Consider the following 14,908-nt stretch of genomic DNA (forward strand, 5'->3'; position numbering starts at 1 on the left):
CATATTGGAAAGCACAAGTCTATGGGGTAGAAAAGTTGAATTTCTGGGTCATAGCATATATGTATGTGTGTTTTACCACTAGAATATACAGGCAAACAATTTTCCAAAGTTTTTGAACTTATTTATACTCTTGCCAGAAATGAATAGAAGATTATAATGCTTCCGTTGTGCCAAAATCTGGGAATGTCTTTTTTTTTAAGTCAAGTTTACTGAGGTATAATTAAAACTCACCAGCGTTACATGTTGTACATGGTTCTCAGTGATATACTCTCTTTGCAAAGCTGGCTTTTGGTGGTAGCTTTGATTTAAAAGCTAATGCCACGTAAAAAAATTCAATACGTAGGGCCAGGCGAGGTGGCTCATGCCTGTAATTCTAGCACTTTGGAAGGATGAGGTGGACGGATCACTTGAGGTCAGGGGTTTGAGATCAGCCTGGCCAAAATGGTGAAACCCCATTTCTACTAAAAATACAAAAATTAGCCAGGTGTGGTGGGGGGAACCTATAGTCTCAGCTACTTGGGAGACTGAGGCAGGAGGATCATCTGAGCTCTGGAGGCTGAAGTTTCAGTGAGCTATCATTGCACCACTGCAGTCCAGCCTTGGTGACAGAGTGAGACTCTGTCTCAAAAACAGAAAAAAAATGTATGTATATATATATATATATATATGTGTGTGTGTGTGTGTGTGTGTGTGTATATATATATGTGTATATATATACACACACATATATATACACACACACATATATATATACACACATATATATGTTGTGAACTCAACAAGCAACACTATTCTCCAAGTAAAGTAATATAGAGAGAGAATCTTAAGGCAATCAAAATTATTTATTATTATTTATTAACTAATTTTAAGGCAATCGAAATTAATTATTATTATTTATTAACTCTATTATTATTATCAAAATTATTTATTAACTCCATTATTAACTCCATATAATCATTAATATTGGTCATGGATTTTAAAATTAACTATATATCTTGAAATTATACATTGAGCTGACATTTAATAGAGGATGATGGCATCATGTATTAGATGACATCTAAATATATTTACGAAGAAATTGTAAGTGGAATAATTCAGTCTCCTAGTTTCTAGAATTATCTCCTTTTAAAGATATTACCTACTGAATTAGTAAGTAACTGAGTCCAAATCTCACCCTACTTGCTGCATGACAGCCAAGAAGTCAGGAGACACAAGGTGTTGGGGCAGGGAAGGTGACTTTATTTCAGAGGGCTAGTAAACCAAGAAGATGGTGAACTAATGTCCTAAAGAAACATCTCAAGTTAATAAAAATTTCTGGCTTCTTGTATGTTAGGGAAAGGGGTAAGAAGCAGGGGATTGAGGTCAAGAGGTGGCTGACACTCCCAGACATCTGGGCAGCAGTGAGGGCCCAAGGGGGCTTTGAAACTTCTTTCTCTTTGGTAAGGTCACCTGAATAGAACACAGTTACTTGTGTGCATACATCCCTTAGCTCCTCAGGGGTTAGTTTTGGGAAGGGACTATTACATCCTTGCATTATTGTTATTATTATTATTATTACTATTGAGCCTGAGTTTCGTTTTTGTTGCCCAGTCTAGAGTGCAATGATGCGATTTCGGCTCACTACAACCTCTGCCTCCCAGGTTCAAGCGACTCTCCTGCCTCAGCCTCCCAAGTAGCTGGGATTACAGGCATGTGCCACCAGACCCAGCTAATTTTGTATTTTTAGTAGAGATGGGGTTTCGCTATGTTGGCCAGGCTGGTTTGGAATCCCTGACCTCAGGTGATCCACCCACCTTGGCATCGCAGAGTGCTGGGATTACAGGCATGAGCCACTGCGCCTGGCCTAATTAGCTAATTTTTTAAAATTTGTAGAGACAGGAGTCTCACTATGTTGCTCAGGCTGGTATGGAACCCCTGGCCTCAATCGATCTTCCCTCCTCAGCTGCCTAAAGTGCTAGATTACAGCTGTGAGCTGCCACACCCTGCTTAATTTTCTTATTTTAATTTTATATATGTGATTATTACTGTACTTCAGATAATCAGGCAGTAATTTCTTTAAAGTTTTAGAGACTTAATTTATCTATTCACTCCACTGAAAGAGTATGCCAATTGGTTTCATAAGAAAATATATTTATACATTAGAAAAATTCCTTCCACCAAACCAGGGGGCATTCGAAAGCAAATAATTGGGTTATGTAACATCATTTAAGGTGAAAACAGAGGCAATTGTGTCTATTAACAATGCTTATGAGTGAGGGAAACAAACTGAAAAATTAACATCATTAGATCCTTGGAAAACCCTCACTGCTGAAAATCTGAGTAATTCTTTGATCCCCTTTTGAGTCTGGCAGGACATTCTCCTTCCAGGCATATAAAAGTGAATGAATAATTTCTTTTCATCCATTTTCATTAAGGGCTGAACTTCCTTACTGTTCTAGAGATTGTTAAATTTGATTTGTGTAGTTGTGAGAAGTGCTCAAATTGCTGATTCCATTGCTTACTTGTGATCATATCACTCTTTTTTTCTCCTTTCTGTAGTGTGATTTAAACTTCATCCTTAAAGGGCATATATTTGAATTTTTCAGCTAGTTAGAAACCTGAATATATGAATCAAAGAAAACTGTTCCTTACATGCTGCAGATTCAGTTTTCTTCCTGTGCTAAGATCTCCTTTAGGTCTATTAATTTGTTATGGCCAAGAGCTCCTACGGAATGAAATTTGGTTGGGGGTGAGGGGCATTGAGTAGTAAGATCATCTTTATAATAGAGATGCCACTCTTGCAGATATTGACAGCTACTGGGCCCATAAAATTTTTACCAAACATTGGAAAGATGAGATATGAGCAACTTCCCATTTGCTGCAGTCTCAAATATCAGGAAATACAATTATCCTCAGGACAATGAATAAACAATCAAAAAAGACTCACAGACTAGATTAGCTGTCAGGTATCACCAAACGGATGGATTCTTGCCAAACACCACCCAACAGAGAGTGTCCTGAGAAATTCACTCCATAATATTTACCAGAAATCTACACTGATGCCACTGATGGCAGAAAACAATGATGCAAACATGAGAGAGAGAGAGAGAGAGAGAAGGAAAGGACTTGTCCAATGACCATACTTAGTATTTTAAAGCAAAATTGCTCAGTTTCTGCTCATGAAAACAGAAGAACTGCGGGAACAAGAGCCAATAGCTCTAAGGATCCAGGTCTGCACCAGGGGCCTGTTAGGTGCCGGATTCTGTTGGCTCCAATGATGGGTCTCAGATGGACTAATTTTTATAGACATAGCCTCTGAAAGAAATCTATCAAGGAATCATATAGAGACACTTATTTGCATGCTCATTCTCCATTAATATAGAAGGGAGAACTGGCATTAGATTGTTTTCAGCAAATAAAAGTAAAATCAAGATTTACAAAGAAAAGAGGAAAGGGGAGGAGAAAAAAAATATCTGGGACCATTGTGATTTTGCTTTCTTTGGATAAGCGACTTGGCAGAAAGCTATCAAAGAAGTCACTGTGATCTGTCTTCTCTGGACCCATGTGACTTGGTCACCACAGGAAACAATGACAAGCCAGGCACAGTGACTCACGACTGTAATACCAGCACTTTAGGAGGCTAAGGCAGGTGCATTGCTTGAGCTCAGCTGGAGAGCAGCCTGGTCAATGTGATGAAACTCCATCTCTACAAAAAAATACAAAAATTAGCCAGGCATGATAGTGTATGCTGCTAGTCCCAGCTACTCAGGAGGCTGAGGTGGGAGGATCACCTGAGCCCAGGGAGGTTGAGGCTACAGTGAGCCGTCATCATGCCACTACACTCCAGCCTGGGTGACAGAGTGAGGCCCTGTCCCAAAATAAATAAATTTTAAAAAGAAACAGGGCTGACCATGGTGGCTCATGCCGGTAATCTCAGCACAAAACTTTGGGAGGCTGAGGTAGGAGGATCACTTGAGCTCAGGAGTTGGAGACCAGCCTGGGCAAGATAGTGAAATCACATCTCTACAGAATTATTATCATTTTTTAATAGCCACCTATGATGGTGCATACCCATAGTTGCAGCTACTTGGAAGGCTGAGGCAGGAGGATCACTTGAGCCCAGGATTTTGAGGCTACAGTGAACTATGATCATGCCACTGCACTGCAGCCTGGACAACAGAGGAAGACCTTGTCGCGAAAAATAAAATAAAATAAAATAAAATAAACATAAAATGCCTTAGAAGTTTAGCTGTCCATCCTATGCAACAGAATATCTGTGTGTAATGTCCACCATGTCCTTCTGTTGTATTGTCCCCTTAGTTAAGCCGGGAGGGAACCTGTCCCCTTATTAGAATATCATGGGCACATGGCAAACACGGTGGCTCATGCCTGAAATCCCAGCACTTTGGGAGGCCGAGGCAGATGGATCTCCTGAGCCCAGGGGTTGGAGACCAACCTCGGCGACATAGCAAGACCCTATCTCTTAAAAAAAAAAATGGTGAATGCGGTGGTGCATGCCTATAGATCCAGCTACTTTGGAGGCTGAGGTGGGAGGATCACTAGAGCCCAGGGGGTGGAGGTTGTAGTGAGCTGAGATCAAGCCACTGCACTCCATCCTGGATGACAGAGTGAGACCTAGTCTAAAATAAAGTGGGGGTGGGGGGGTGGGTAGGGTGGCAGACAGTTTGTTGTGCCAGCAAGTAAATGAAGAAAGGGGCAGTATGAGAGTTGAGAAATAAATTGGAATATGATTTGGTATCGCTCGTGCAGAGGATAAATGTGCTAAATGTGCTGAAGTTAGAGGCATTATGTAAGGTCCATTGCAGTGGCTCATGCCTGTAAATCTTGGCACTTTGGGAGGCCTCGGAGCTGCTTGAGCCCAGGAGTTTGGAGACCAGCCTGCGCAACATGTTGAAACCCCTTCTCTACAGAACATACAAAATTTAGCAGGGCACCATGGCCCGCGCCTCTAATCCCAGCTACTGGGAAGGCTGAGAGATGGGAGGATCACTTGAGCCTGGGAAGACGAGGCTGCCATGAGACATGGTTGGGCCACTGTGCTCCAGCCTGAGAGACAGAATGAGACCCTGTCATAAAAACTAAAAATAAAAATTAAAAAGCCTGTAATGTAGCAGTGGCACCTCTAGTTCTCTACACTATAGAAATATCAGTGGTCAAAGATATATGTACAAGAATGATGGTTTCAAGATTCTTTGTAGTACTAAAATCATGAAGCCAATCTCTTCAAACACATTTTGAAAAGGGTTAAGTAAATCATGTACAAACTGAAGGGGGAAATGCTGTTTTCAAAAATGATGGAGAGGATTATTATGATGATCAATGATTCCACTGGTCACATTATTGATTGAGCAATCACTAAATCCAGGCCCATCCTGGGGATAGGACACCTCTCTAGGCCTCCTATTAAAAATGAAAAAAATGGAAGCTGGTCTATAATCCATCCAAGCCTATAAGGGGCAGGCATGAGGATTTTATCGCACCAGAAGTGACTTGTTTGGTCTCTGATTCTTGCACTCAGGCACAAGACAACCTGACATTTCAGGAGATGCTCTGTCAGAATTGGATCTCTGAGTGGGGTGGCTCTTGATAGGGATCCCTGTTAACTGTGACTAGAATCCTGAGAAGAGAAAAACCTTCCTGAAATGGGCATATCCCTGGCTGGCCTGGAACCAACCTTTCGGACTTAGGACTATGGGAAGAATAGGGGGAGATTCTCTAGTGATGATAATACATGAATGCTTTAAAAGCTAGAACAGGCGTCCCTGGGTGGTCTTGAACTACTCACCGTTCGGTTAATAGCCGAACGCTCTGACCGATTGCGCCACAGAGACAGGTACTAGCGATTCCACTGGGCGCTGTAGGCAGGGCGCACTCACCGAACTCCCCCATCCCTTCCAGCCTCAGGGCCCGCCTGGCAGGACTACTGAGCAAGGCCTTGGAAAATCGGAGCGATTAGAGCGGTGAGTCGCGCTGGTCACACTGCACACCTGCGGGTTGGGAGATTCTGGAGCCAGAAGGAGAGCCGAATGGCCTTCGCCCGCCCTGCCCCTCCTCCGCTTCAGAAATCCCCGGAAACGCCCCGGTCCGCGATCCGGGCCCGAGCAGCCAGGGGGCCCAAGGGAAGCTGAACGCCGGGTGAGCTACCCGGATGGCTCTTCCGGTTCTTTGTGCGGCCTTCACCCAGTGAGGGAGCCTGTGCCCCCTGCCCAGTCGCTTTCGGGGCGCTGAGGAGCTTCCGCTGCCATCTTCGGATGCTGTGTCCCGCACGGAGGGTCCACCAGGGCAGGGATAGTGGTGAGGGTCGCTCGTGGATCCCCTCGCGGGGAGCAGGGTCTGGCACACACCAGGGCGCAGGATTAGGACTTGTTGAATGAATCCATCATGGCCTTTATCTTTTAGTCCTCTGAAGAGCGTTGAGAATGGAAATCATAAGATATTTTTTCCATTAGGAAGTTCTTTTTACAAGGCGTTTATTCAGGTTGACTTCTCGGCACCCCGCGGGGCGGGCAACGGGCAGGGCCTCCAGTGCACCTTCTGCGCAGTGGAGCCGCGGGGGCTCAGCTGGGCGGTGGTCGGGTCGTGAGGCGGGAGGGCGGGAGCGGGGGAAGGGAAAAGCAAAAGCGGGGAAAGAAGCCGGGGAGCGGTGGACCAGACATTCAGACCTCCTGAAAGGCTCGTGCGGAGGCAGAGGCGGGATCTTCCGGAGGTGAGAATTGTTTTGTTATTGTAGCAGAATGGGGAGGAATTGAGGGGAAAATGGAGATAGAACCTGAAAGAGCCCCAAACGCGAGAACGTGTAGCTCCCCAAGTGTAAGATCTCACAGAAGAACTAGACTGAAAACTAGGCGTCTGGGAAGCCTGAAATCCTTGGAGGAGTGGCATCATCATGACCCTCTGTGTTCTCACTTATAAGTGGGAGCTGAATGATGAGAATACATGGACAGATAGAGTGGGGGTGGGGACAACACACACTCGAGCCTGCCAGAGGGTAGGGCTGGGAAGAGGGAGAGCATCAGAAAGAGGAGCTAATGGATGCTGGGATTAGTACCTGGGTGGTGGGATGATCTGTGCAGCAAACCACCATGGCACAGGTTTATCTATGGAACAAACCTGCACATCCTGCACGTGTACCCCTGAAATTAAAGTAAAAATTGGAAATAAAACATTTAAAAAGAAAAGAAAACAAACAACAACAACAAAAAAGAGTGGTGCAAATCTGTACCAGGCTTATTGTAAACAAAAGAATGAGAATGAAAACATGGATATCAGACAAAGGGAAATGGCAAAAGAACGCTTTACATTAGCTAGAGGAGTAATATCCTAGCATCTAACTAGAATAGAATGGAATCGAATGGAATTGTTTTTCCCTGAACTGGCCTCCTTGGGTGGCCGACGAGGGCGAGGTGAAGGGAAGACATCTTGGAGTGAAATGTCCGTTTCTTCGCTCTTGTTTTGGTCTCTGTAAGGCATAAGAAGTTAAAAGCAAGATCTGATCCGTGGCATTTTCCAGGAATTTGAAATAGGTACATGAGGAGAGAAGCTCAATTATTACCCAGGTCTCCGGGACTATCCCAGGCACAATCCCAAGAGTCCAGCTTTCCAAACCAGGGTCCCTGGGTTCTGAAGGCCCTTTTGGGGAAAGTACTGATGTTTGTGTCAAGGTTGGGAGGAAAGGGTTTGGAAGGCCCCAGGCGATGGGAAGGCAAAGAGAAGGTATCAAGAAGCAAGGCAAGAACTTTCCACAGGTTCACGTTGGATACAGCACCGGAGACAAGAAACTGAGTGAATTTCTGGTGTTTTCTTACAGAGGTTTGTTATCCAGTTGTACAGAGTCTATTTCAGAATAAGTCTTTTTCAAATCAGCTCTTTTAATGTGAAGCCATAACTTTCTGGTGTTGCCTGATGCAAATCTCTAATGTGAGCCTTTGCCCTGGGTGTCCTTTTTGTTAATTACATGTTCCAAAGAGAACACGGTAAAAATCTTGACTCCTCTTCCCATGTCCCGATCTTACCTTTTTCCATGTAAAGGCCGCAGTTTTTGCTAGCAGGAGGCGTCAGTGGTTTAGTGGTGGAATTCCTGCCTCCCATGCACGAGATCCGTGTTCAACTCCTGGTTGGTGCAGCGTGCAGTTTCCGCACAATGCGGTTTTTACATTTATTTACCATAACTGTGTATACTCAGGCAGGTCACAGCCGCAATAATAAACAGAAGGAAAAGGGAACTACTGTATAGCTTTCCAGTTCCTTCTGGAGTGGAATTTCTCTAAGTAAGGACTTCGCAGAGACTGTCTTTGAAGCAGCTAGTGTGTCTGGTTGGTCTCTGCGTTTGCATATTTGGCCCTAAAACCGACGGGACGTTTATTGTCTCTTCTGGCGGATCCCTGAAATACACAGTCACCTGGACACTGATTTCACTGACTGGACCTTGGACAGACCACGTATCGCGGTGGAGTGAGGCTCAAGAAAGGAGAGAAGCTGTGGGGTCGGACAGACACACGCAGTGGGGAAGGGGCAGTGGGTACGGGGGCCCAGGGACAGGGGAGGCGTGTGGGAAGGAACCCGCACGCAGATGAGGGGAGCTGCAGAGAGGGACCTCGGATCTTCCTGTCGAGGAAGGCCCAGTCTTTGGTGGTATCGGCAAAATGAAGGATGGGCCCCAAGTGGAGAGCAGCACGTCCCCAAAACTCATTTCGATTACCCCTGTTTTATACTCCACCAAGCAAATCTTCTATCTAGGGGATTCTTTGTAATACGTCTCTTTAAGCATCGTGCTGGAGAGGCCATGACAATCATTACCTCTGGAGATTTGCGGAGGAAAGCTGGAAAAGGAAAGCCCCGGGATCATCTGGTTTGTCCTCCCCTGTTTTCATCTACTCTTTTCCTCAGGGAAGCTTATATGTGTCCAGGAGTCGCATCGCAGCTGCCTCACTGGTGGATTAAGATCCGCTGATGGCGGGGCGTGGTGGATCACCCCTGTAATCCCAGCACTTTGGGAGGCCGAGGCGGGCGGATCACAAGGTCAGGAGATCCAGACCATCCTGGTCAACATGGTGAAACCCCATCCCTACCAAAAATACAAAAAATTAGCTGGGCGTGGTGGTGCGCGCCTGTAGTCCCAGCTACTCGGGAGGCTGAGGAAGGAGAATCGCTGGAACCCGGGAGGCGGAGGTTGCAGTGAGCCGAGATCGCACCACTGCACTCCAGCCTGGCCACAGAGCGACACTCCGTCTCAAAAAATAAACAGCCGCTGACAAATCTCTTTCGTGAAGGGGTAAGAGCCGCAGTTGGCCCATAGCAAGGGAGTCAGAAGCAAGAGCAGAACCGAAAATACTTTTCTCTATGTCGTTCTCTCTCTCCTACCTGTGAACATCAACCTTCCACACACACCGGTTCAAAACCGCCTTGGTCTCTAAGGGAGATTTACCATTTTTCACAGGTCCCGTAAGCCATGTTTCCTTCTTGCTTCTACAGTTTTTCGAGGGCTGAGTTTCAGGAGCTGGTCAGCAGTGCAGGCTACTTCAATATCCTGGTTCAAAACCATTTGTCTGGTTTTGCTAGTAAAGTGCCTCCTAGACCAGAGATAAGACGTGTTCCTTCGGCTTCCATTTTCTAGAGATAATTGGTATCATTTCTTCATTAAATGTTTCGTAGTAAAACCATCTAGACCTGGTGCTTTGTTCTGGAAGGTTGTTAATCATTGATTCAATTTCATTAATAAATAGAGATCTGTTTAGGTTATATATTTCTCCTTGTGTGAGTTTTGGTAGACTGTGTCTTTCAAGAACTTGGTCCAATTCATCAAGTTATCAAATATGTGAGCGGAGAATTGTTGATAATCTTCATCTGTTATCCTTTTAATATCCATGAGATCAGTAGTGAGGACCTTCTTTTCTTTTTGTTATTTGTAATTTGTATCTTCTCTCATTGTTTCTTGGTTCACCAGCTGGATGTTTATCAATTTTATTGATTATTTTAAAGAACTACATTTTCTTTTTGTTGATTTTTCTCTATTGATTTCTGGTTTTCAATTTCCTTGATTTCTCCTCTAATTTTTATTGTCTCTTGCTTTCCACTTACTTTGGATTTAATTTTTTCTTGTTTTTTGAGTTTCCTAAAGTGTAAGTTCAGATTATTGATTGTAGATCCTTTTTCTTTGCTACCATATGCATTGAATACTATGAATTTCTTTCTAAGCACCAATTTTCCTGCACCCAGAAATTTTTTATAAGTTGTATGTTTATTTTCATTTAGCTCAAAATATGTAATTTGCCCTGAGACTTTTTCTTGACCCATGTGTTACTGGAAGTGTATTGTCTGATCTCCAGTTTTGGGATTTTGCAGCTATCTGTTGTTGATTTCTACTTCAGTTCCATAATTTGAATGGAGGGCATATTTGGTATGATTTCTATCCCATTAAATATGTTGAAGTGTGTTTTATGGGCCAGAATGTGGTGGATCTTGGTGAACACTCCATGTGACCCTAAAAAGAATATGTATTCTGCTCTTGTTGGATGAAGTAATCTAAAAAGTCGGTTGGATCCAGGTGACTGATGGTGGTGTCCAGTTTCACTACATCTTTATTGATTTCCTGCCTTCTGATCTGTCAGTTACTGATGCTGAAGCCTCCCACTGTAATAGTGAATCTGTCTATTTGTCCTTGAAGTTCTATCAGCTTTTGCCCCTGATATTTAGATGCTTTAGGTGCATATCATTTAAGGATTGTCATATCTTCTTGGAGAAGTGACCTCTTTATATTATATAAAGACTCTCTTTATCCCCATGATTTTCCTCCCTCTGAAGTCAGCTCTGTCTCAAATTAATGTGGCTACTGTAGTTTTTTTGTTTTTTTGTTGGTTTGTTTGCTTTTGTTTTTGTTTTGTTTTTTGTTTTGACTGAGTTTCGCTCTTGTTGCCCAGGCTGGAGTACAATGGCGCAATCTCAGCTCACTGCAACATCCGTCTCCCAGGTTCAAGCGATTCTCCTGCCTCAGCCTCCCAAGTAGCTGGCATTAAAGGCATGCGCCACCATGACCGGCTAATTTTGTATTTTTAGAAGAGATGGAGTTTCACCATGTTGGTCAGGCTGGTCTTGAACTTCTGACCTCAAGTGATCCACCTGCCTTGGCTTCCCAAAGTGCTGGGATTACAAGTGTGAGCCACAGTGCCCAGCTGCTACTCCAATTTTCTTTTGATTACGATGGGTATGATATATCTTTCTCCATCTCTTCACTTCTAATATCTCTGTGTCTTCTTATTTAAAGTAGGTTCGTTGTAGATGACATATAGTTGGACCTCATTTTCCATTCTGCCAGTCTCTGTCTTTTAGTTGGTGTACTTGGACCATTCACATTTAAAGTGACTATTGATATCATTGGATTAATATGTACCATATGTGTAACTGTTTCTATTTTTTGACTTTCTTCATTGTTTCCTTTTGTGTCTTTTACTCTTTTTCTACCTTCTCTGGCTATAATTGAACATGTTATATGATCCCATTTTTTTCTTCTCTCTTACAATACAAATTCCATTTCTTAAAAGAAAAATTGTGTTTTTGTTTTCACCCTATTGCTTGCCATATATACTTACAAATAATCTAAGTCAACTTAAAGTAATGTTATGATGCTTCATGGGTCATGCAGGTACCTTAAAAACAAAATTCCTAATTCCTTTCTTACCACCTTTTAAAACATTACTCTCATTCATTTGATGTATTAATAACATATAATCATCCAATCAATTATTGCTGTTTTTCTTATTTTGACAGACGGTTATATGAATTAAGAATAAACATAATAAAATATTTTATTTTTAACTTCATTTATTCCTCCTCTAACTTGCTTCCTTCATGTAGATATGTCTTTAAACTTTGTGGTTTTTTTCTTCTTTCTGAAGAACTTCTTTTAACCTTTCATGGAAGACAAAATTACTGGTGACAAATTCCCTCAATTTTTGTTTGTCAAGAAAGTCTTTTATTTCTCCTTCACGTTTGAAGGGTAATTCTAAAGAATTCTAGGTTAACAGAGTTCTTTTTCCTCCAATACTAAATATGTCAGCTGCATGCTGTTCTTGCTTGCATGGTTTATGAAGAGAAGTCTAATGTAGTACTCATCCTTGTTCTTCTAAGGTAAGGTGTTTTCTTTCTCCAGCTTCTCTCAAGATGTTCTTTTGTCTTTGATTTTCTACACTTTCAATATTATATGTTGGATGCTTAATTGCATGTGTAAATTTGGCTGGGCCATGGTGCCCAGATATTTGGTCAAATATTATTCTGACGTTTCTGTGAAAGTGTTTTTTGATGAAATGAGACATTGAAATCAGCCGACTTTGAGTAAAGCAGATGACACTCCATAGTGTGAGTTGGCCTCATCTAGTCAGGTGAAGGCCTTAATAGTATAAAACCTGACCTCCCCCTAACAAGGAGGAATTCTGCCAGCAGATTCCCCTTAGACTTGAACTGCAACTCTCTCCCCTGAGTCTCCAGCCTACTCGCCTATCTCATCAGATTTGGTCTCACCAAGCTTCCACAATTATATGAGCCAATTCCTTAAAATCAGTCTCAATCTCTCTCTCTCTCTCTGTCTCTCTTCTCTCTCTCTCTCTCCTCTCCATCTTCATCTCTATCTTCTATTATGAGAAGTGGCAGGTAAAGAAGATAGGAAAAAGAAAACAAATCATGTAATTGTCATATGGAAATATTTGATGTTGAAAATTATAATTTAGGCCAGGGGCGATGGCTCACGCCTGTAATCCAGCACTTTGGGAGGCCGTGGCAGGCAGATCACGAGGTCAGGAGATCCAGACCATGGTGAAACCCCGTCTCTACTAAAAATACAAAAAATTAGCCGTGTGCGGTGGCTGGCACCTGTAGTCACAGCTACTCTGGAGGCTTAGGCAGAATGGCGTGAACCTGGGAGGCGGAGCTTGCAGTGAGCCGAGATCACACCACTGCACTCCAGCCTGGGCCACAGAGCGAGACTCCATCTCAAAAAAAAAGAAAAAGAAAAAAGAAAATTATAATTTAAAACGTATAAACCAAATATTAGAAGTGTGTCTAGTTCAAAGGGGAAAAAACTATCAAGAACATTTTAGTGCAATATTAAACTTGACCTATACAACCCTTCCTAAATGCCAAAGGCATACACAGACAAACACACACACTATCAGAGAATACAAATAACTAGAACAAAGAAATGTAGTAAATACAATCTACAACATATGGTAAACATAGCCTACAATGTGGAAGTGTTTAGAAAATAAACTCGGAAATAAAAATGTTTTTATTAATTCGTATCATTACCTGCCAAAACCAATCAACATAATAAAAGATTATAACACTGAATGTAAAAAAACAATTCACCAGTCCAAAGTGATAGACAAAAAATTTTAGTTGTATGGATTAAAGTTAACTGTGGACAAAAATTAAAACCCAGGCAGGAAATTTTTTTTTCAACAACAGAAACTAGCAAAAACAAGGATATAGTAAAAACTGAAATAGAAAATTTCCAGTGTAGAGATATGAATATAATAATAGACACAGGCAGGGATGATTAATAAATGATAAAATGTTTAGAGGATGATCATTAGAATACAGGACATTTATACTCTTGAAAACCACTTTCCCAAATACTTCATTATAAGTAAGGTGTCTCTAAAAGGGACAGGTCTTCTAGATTCCTCCTTAACCAAGTGACAGTCCTAGTATCACGATAATGGTGATGGACAAACTGGACCTTCTCTGCCTGCAGATGGGCTGAGGTAGGAAACTCTCAGTAGTGACTCTGCAGTGTTCCTGGCAAAACGTTTAGGCTGAATTTAATCATGAGGACATTTTCAGACAACTTCAGAATGTAGAACATTGAGCCAGACAGCTGACCTGTCCTCTACAAACAAGTCCATGTCACCACCATCCATGACAACAACAAAAAGATGAGGAGATACTTTCGGTTCAAAATAACTAAAGAAATGTAGCTACATTATGTTTTTACTTTTTTTGAACCCAAAATGTCTCTTCTCCTTTTTGTTGTGTGATTCGTGGTGACATGGACCGTGTGAAGGAGACAGGTCAGTTGTCCTGCTCAGTGTTCTACATTCTGCAGTTGTCTGGTGATTACCTCCTATGAAACTCAGGCTAAGCATTTTTAGCAAGAACATGGCATTGTTCATATTCTGCACCGGCAAATTCCCTGTTGTCTACAGGATGGAAGTGAGAGGAGCAGGGCTAAAGCCTCTCAATGCTGTTTGTCCATCTGGCTTTGGTCTTCCTAAGTGTTGATATCAAGTGGAGGCTGAAGGACTGTGGCTTCTCTAACCAAAATTGTGGGTTAACAATTGTCAAGAGCAGTCAGTGGTTCTGAAATACAATCCTCAGCCATGGATCCCTCCTGTGTTGTGTTGAGCTTTCAATTGCTTTGCTCTTTTAGTTTTTTTCATCAAACGAAAATGCTTTTTGTGATATCCTTTCTTTCTTTTCATTGTTCCAGCAGCATTTAGTATCTGTAGGAGAGAGAGAAGGAAAGATCAAATGGGCATCTTTGTCAGGTCCTGCTGATGGCTGAGTCTAGAGGGACTGCTAAGTGGTGATAGCCCAGGGGCAAACTGAGCTCCTGCTAGGAGGATGAGCTGAAGGCTGAGCCGAAGGCTGAGTGAAGAGGCAAGTGCCATCCACAAGTGAAAAGTAAATGCCCCTGAACTTCCAGTCAGCTGAGGTGAAGGATATAGGGACCCTAGCTCTGCCCAACCAGCAGCCGGTGACATCAGCCCCTTTCCTCCTGATTCCTTCTGTCTGGAGCAGAGTGATGGCTTTTCACACCCCTCAGTGAGGATTTTCTCAGCATCAACCATGAAAGCTCAGAAACAGAGGGCTGCAGAAGGAAAGGACCTTTTACAGAGAAACCCACTCCCTTACAGCT

At 42.7% G+C, this 14,908-nt stretch overlaps 1 pseudogene across 1 annotated transcript in view; it reads left to right on the top strand.

Moving 5' to 3' along the window:
* The first annotated feature begins 5,517 nt into the window (after positions 1-5,517).
* HYDIN2 (HYDIN axonemal central pair apparatus protein 2 (pseudogene)) overlaps positions 5,518-14,908 on the top strand; it is a 335,703-nt pseudogene continuing 326,312 nt past the window's right edge. Inside the window, exon 1 of the transcript NR_103556.2 lies at positions 5,518-5,960. The product of NR_103556.2 is annotated as an HYDIN axonemal central pair apparatus protein 2 (pseudogene) (transcript). The remainder of the gene's footprint in view (positions 5,961-14,908) is intronic.

The sequence above is a fragment of the Homo sapiens genome, chromosome 1, assembly GCF_000001405.40.
Source record: "Homo sapiens chromosome 1, GRCh38.p14 Primary Assembly".
Taxonomy (NCBI): Eukaryota; Metazoa; Chordata; class Mammalia; order Primates; family Hominidae; genus Homo; species Homo sapiens.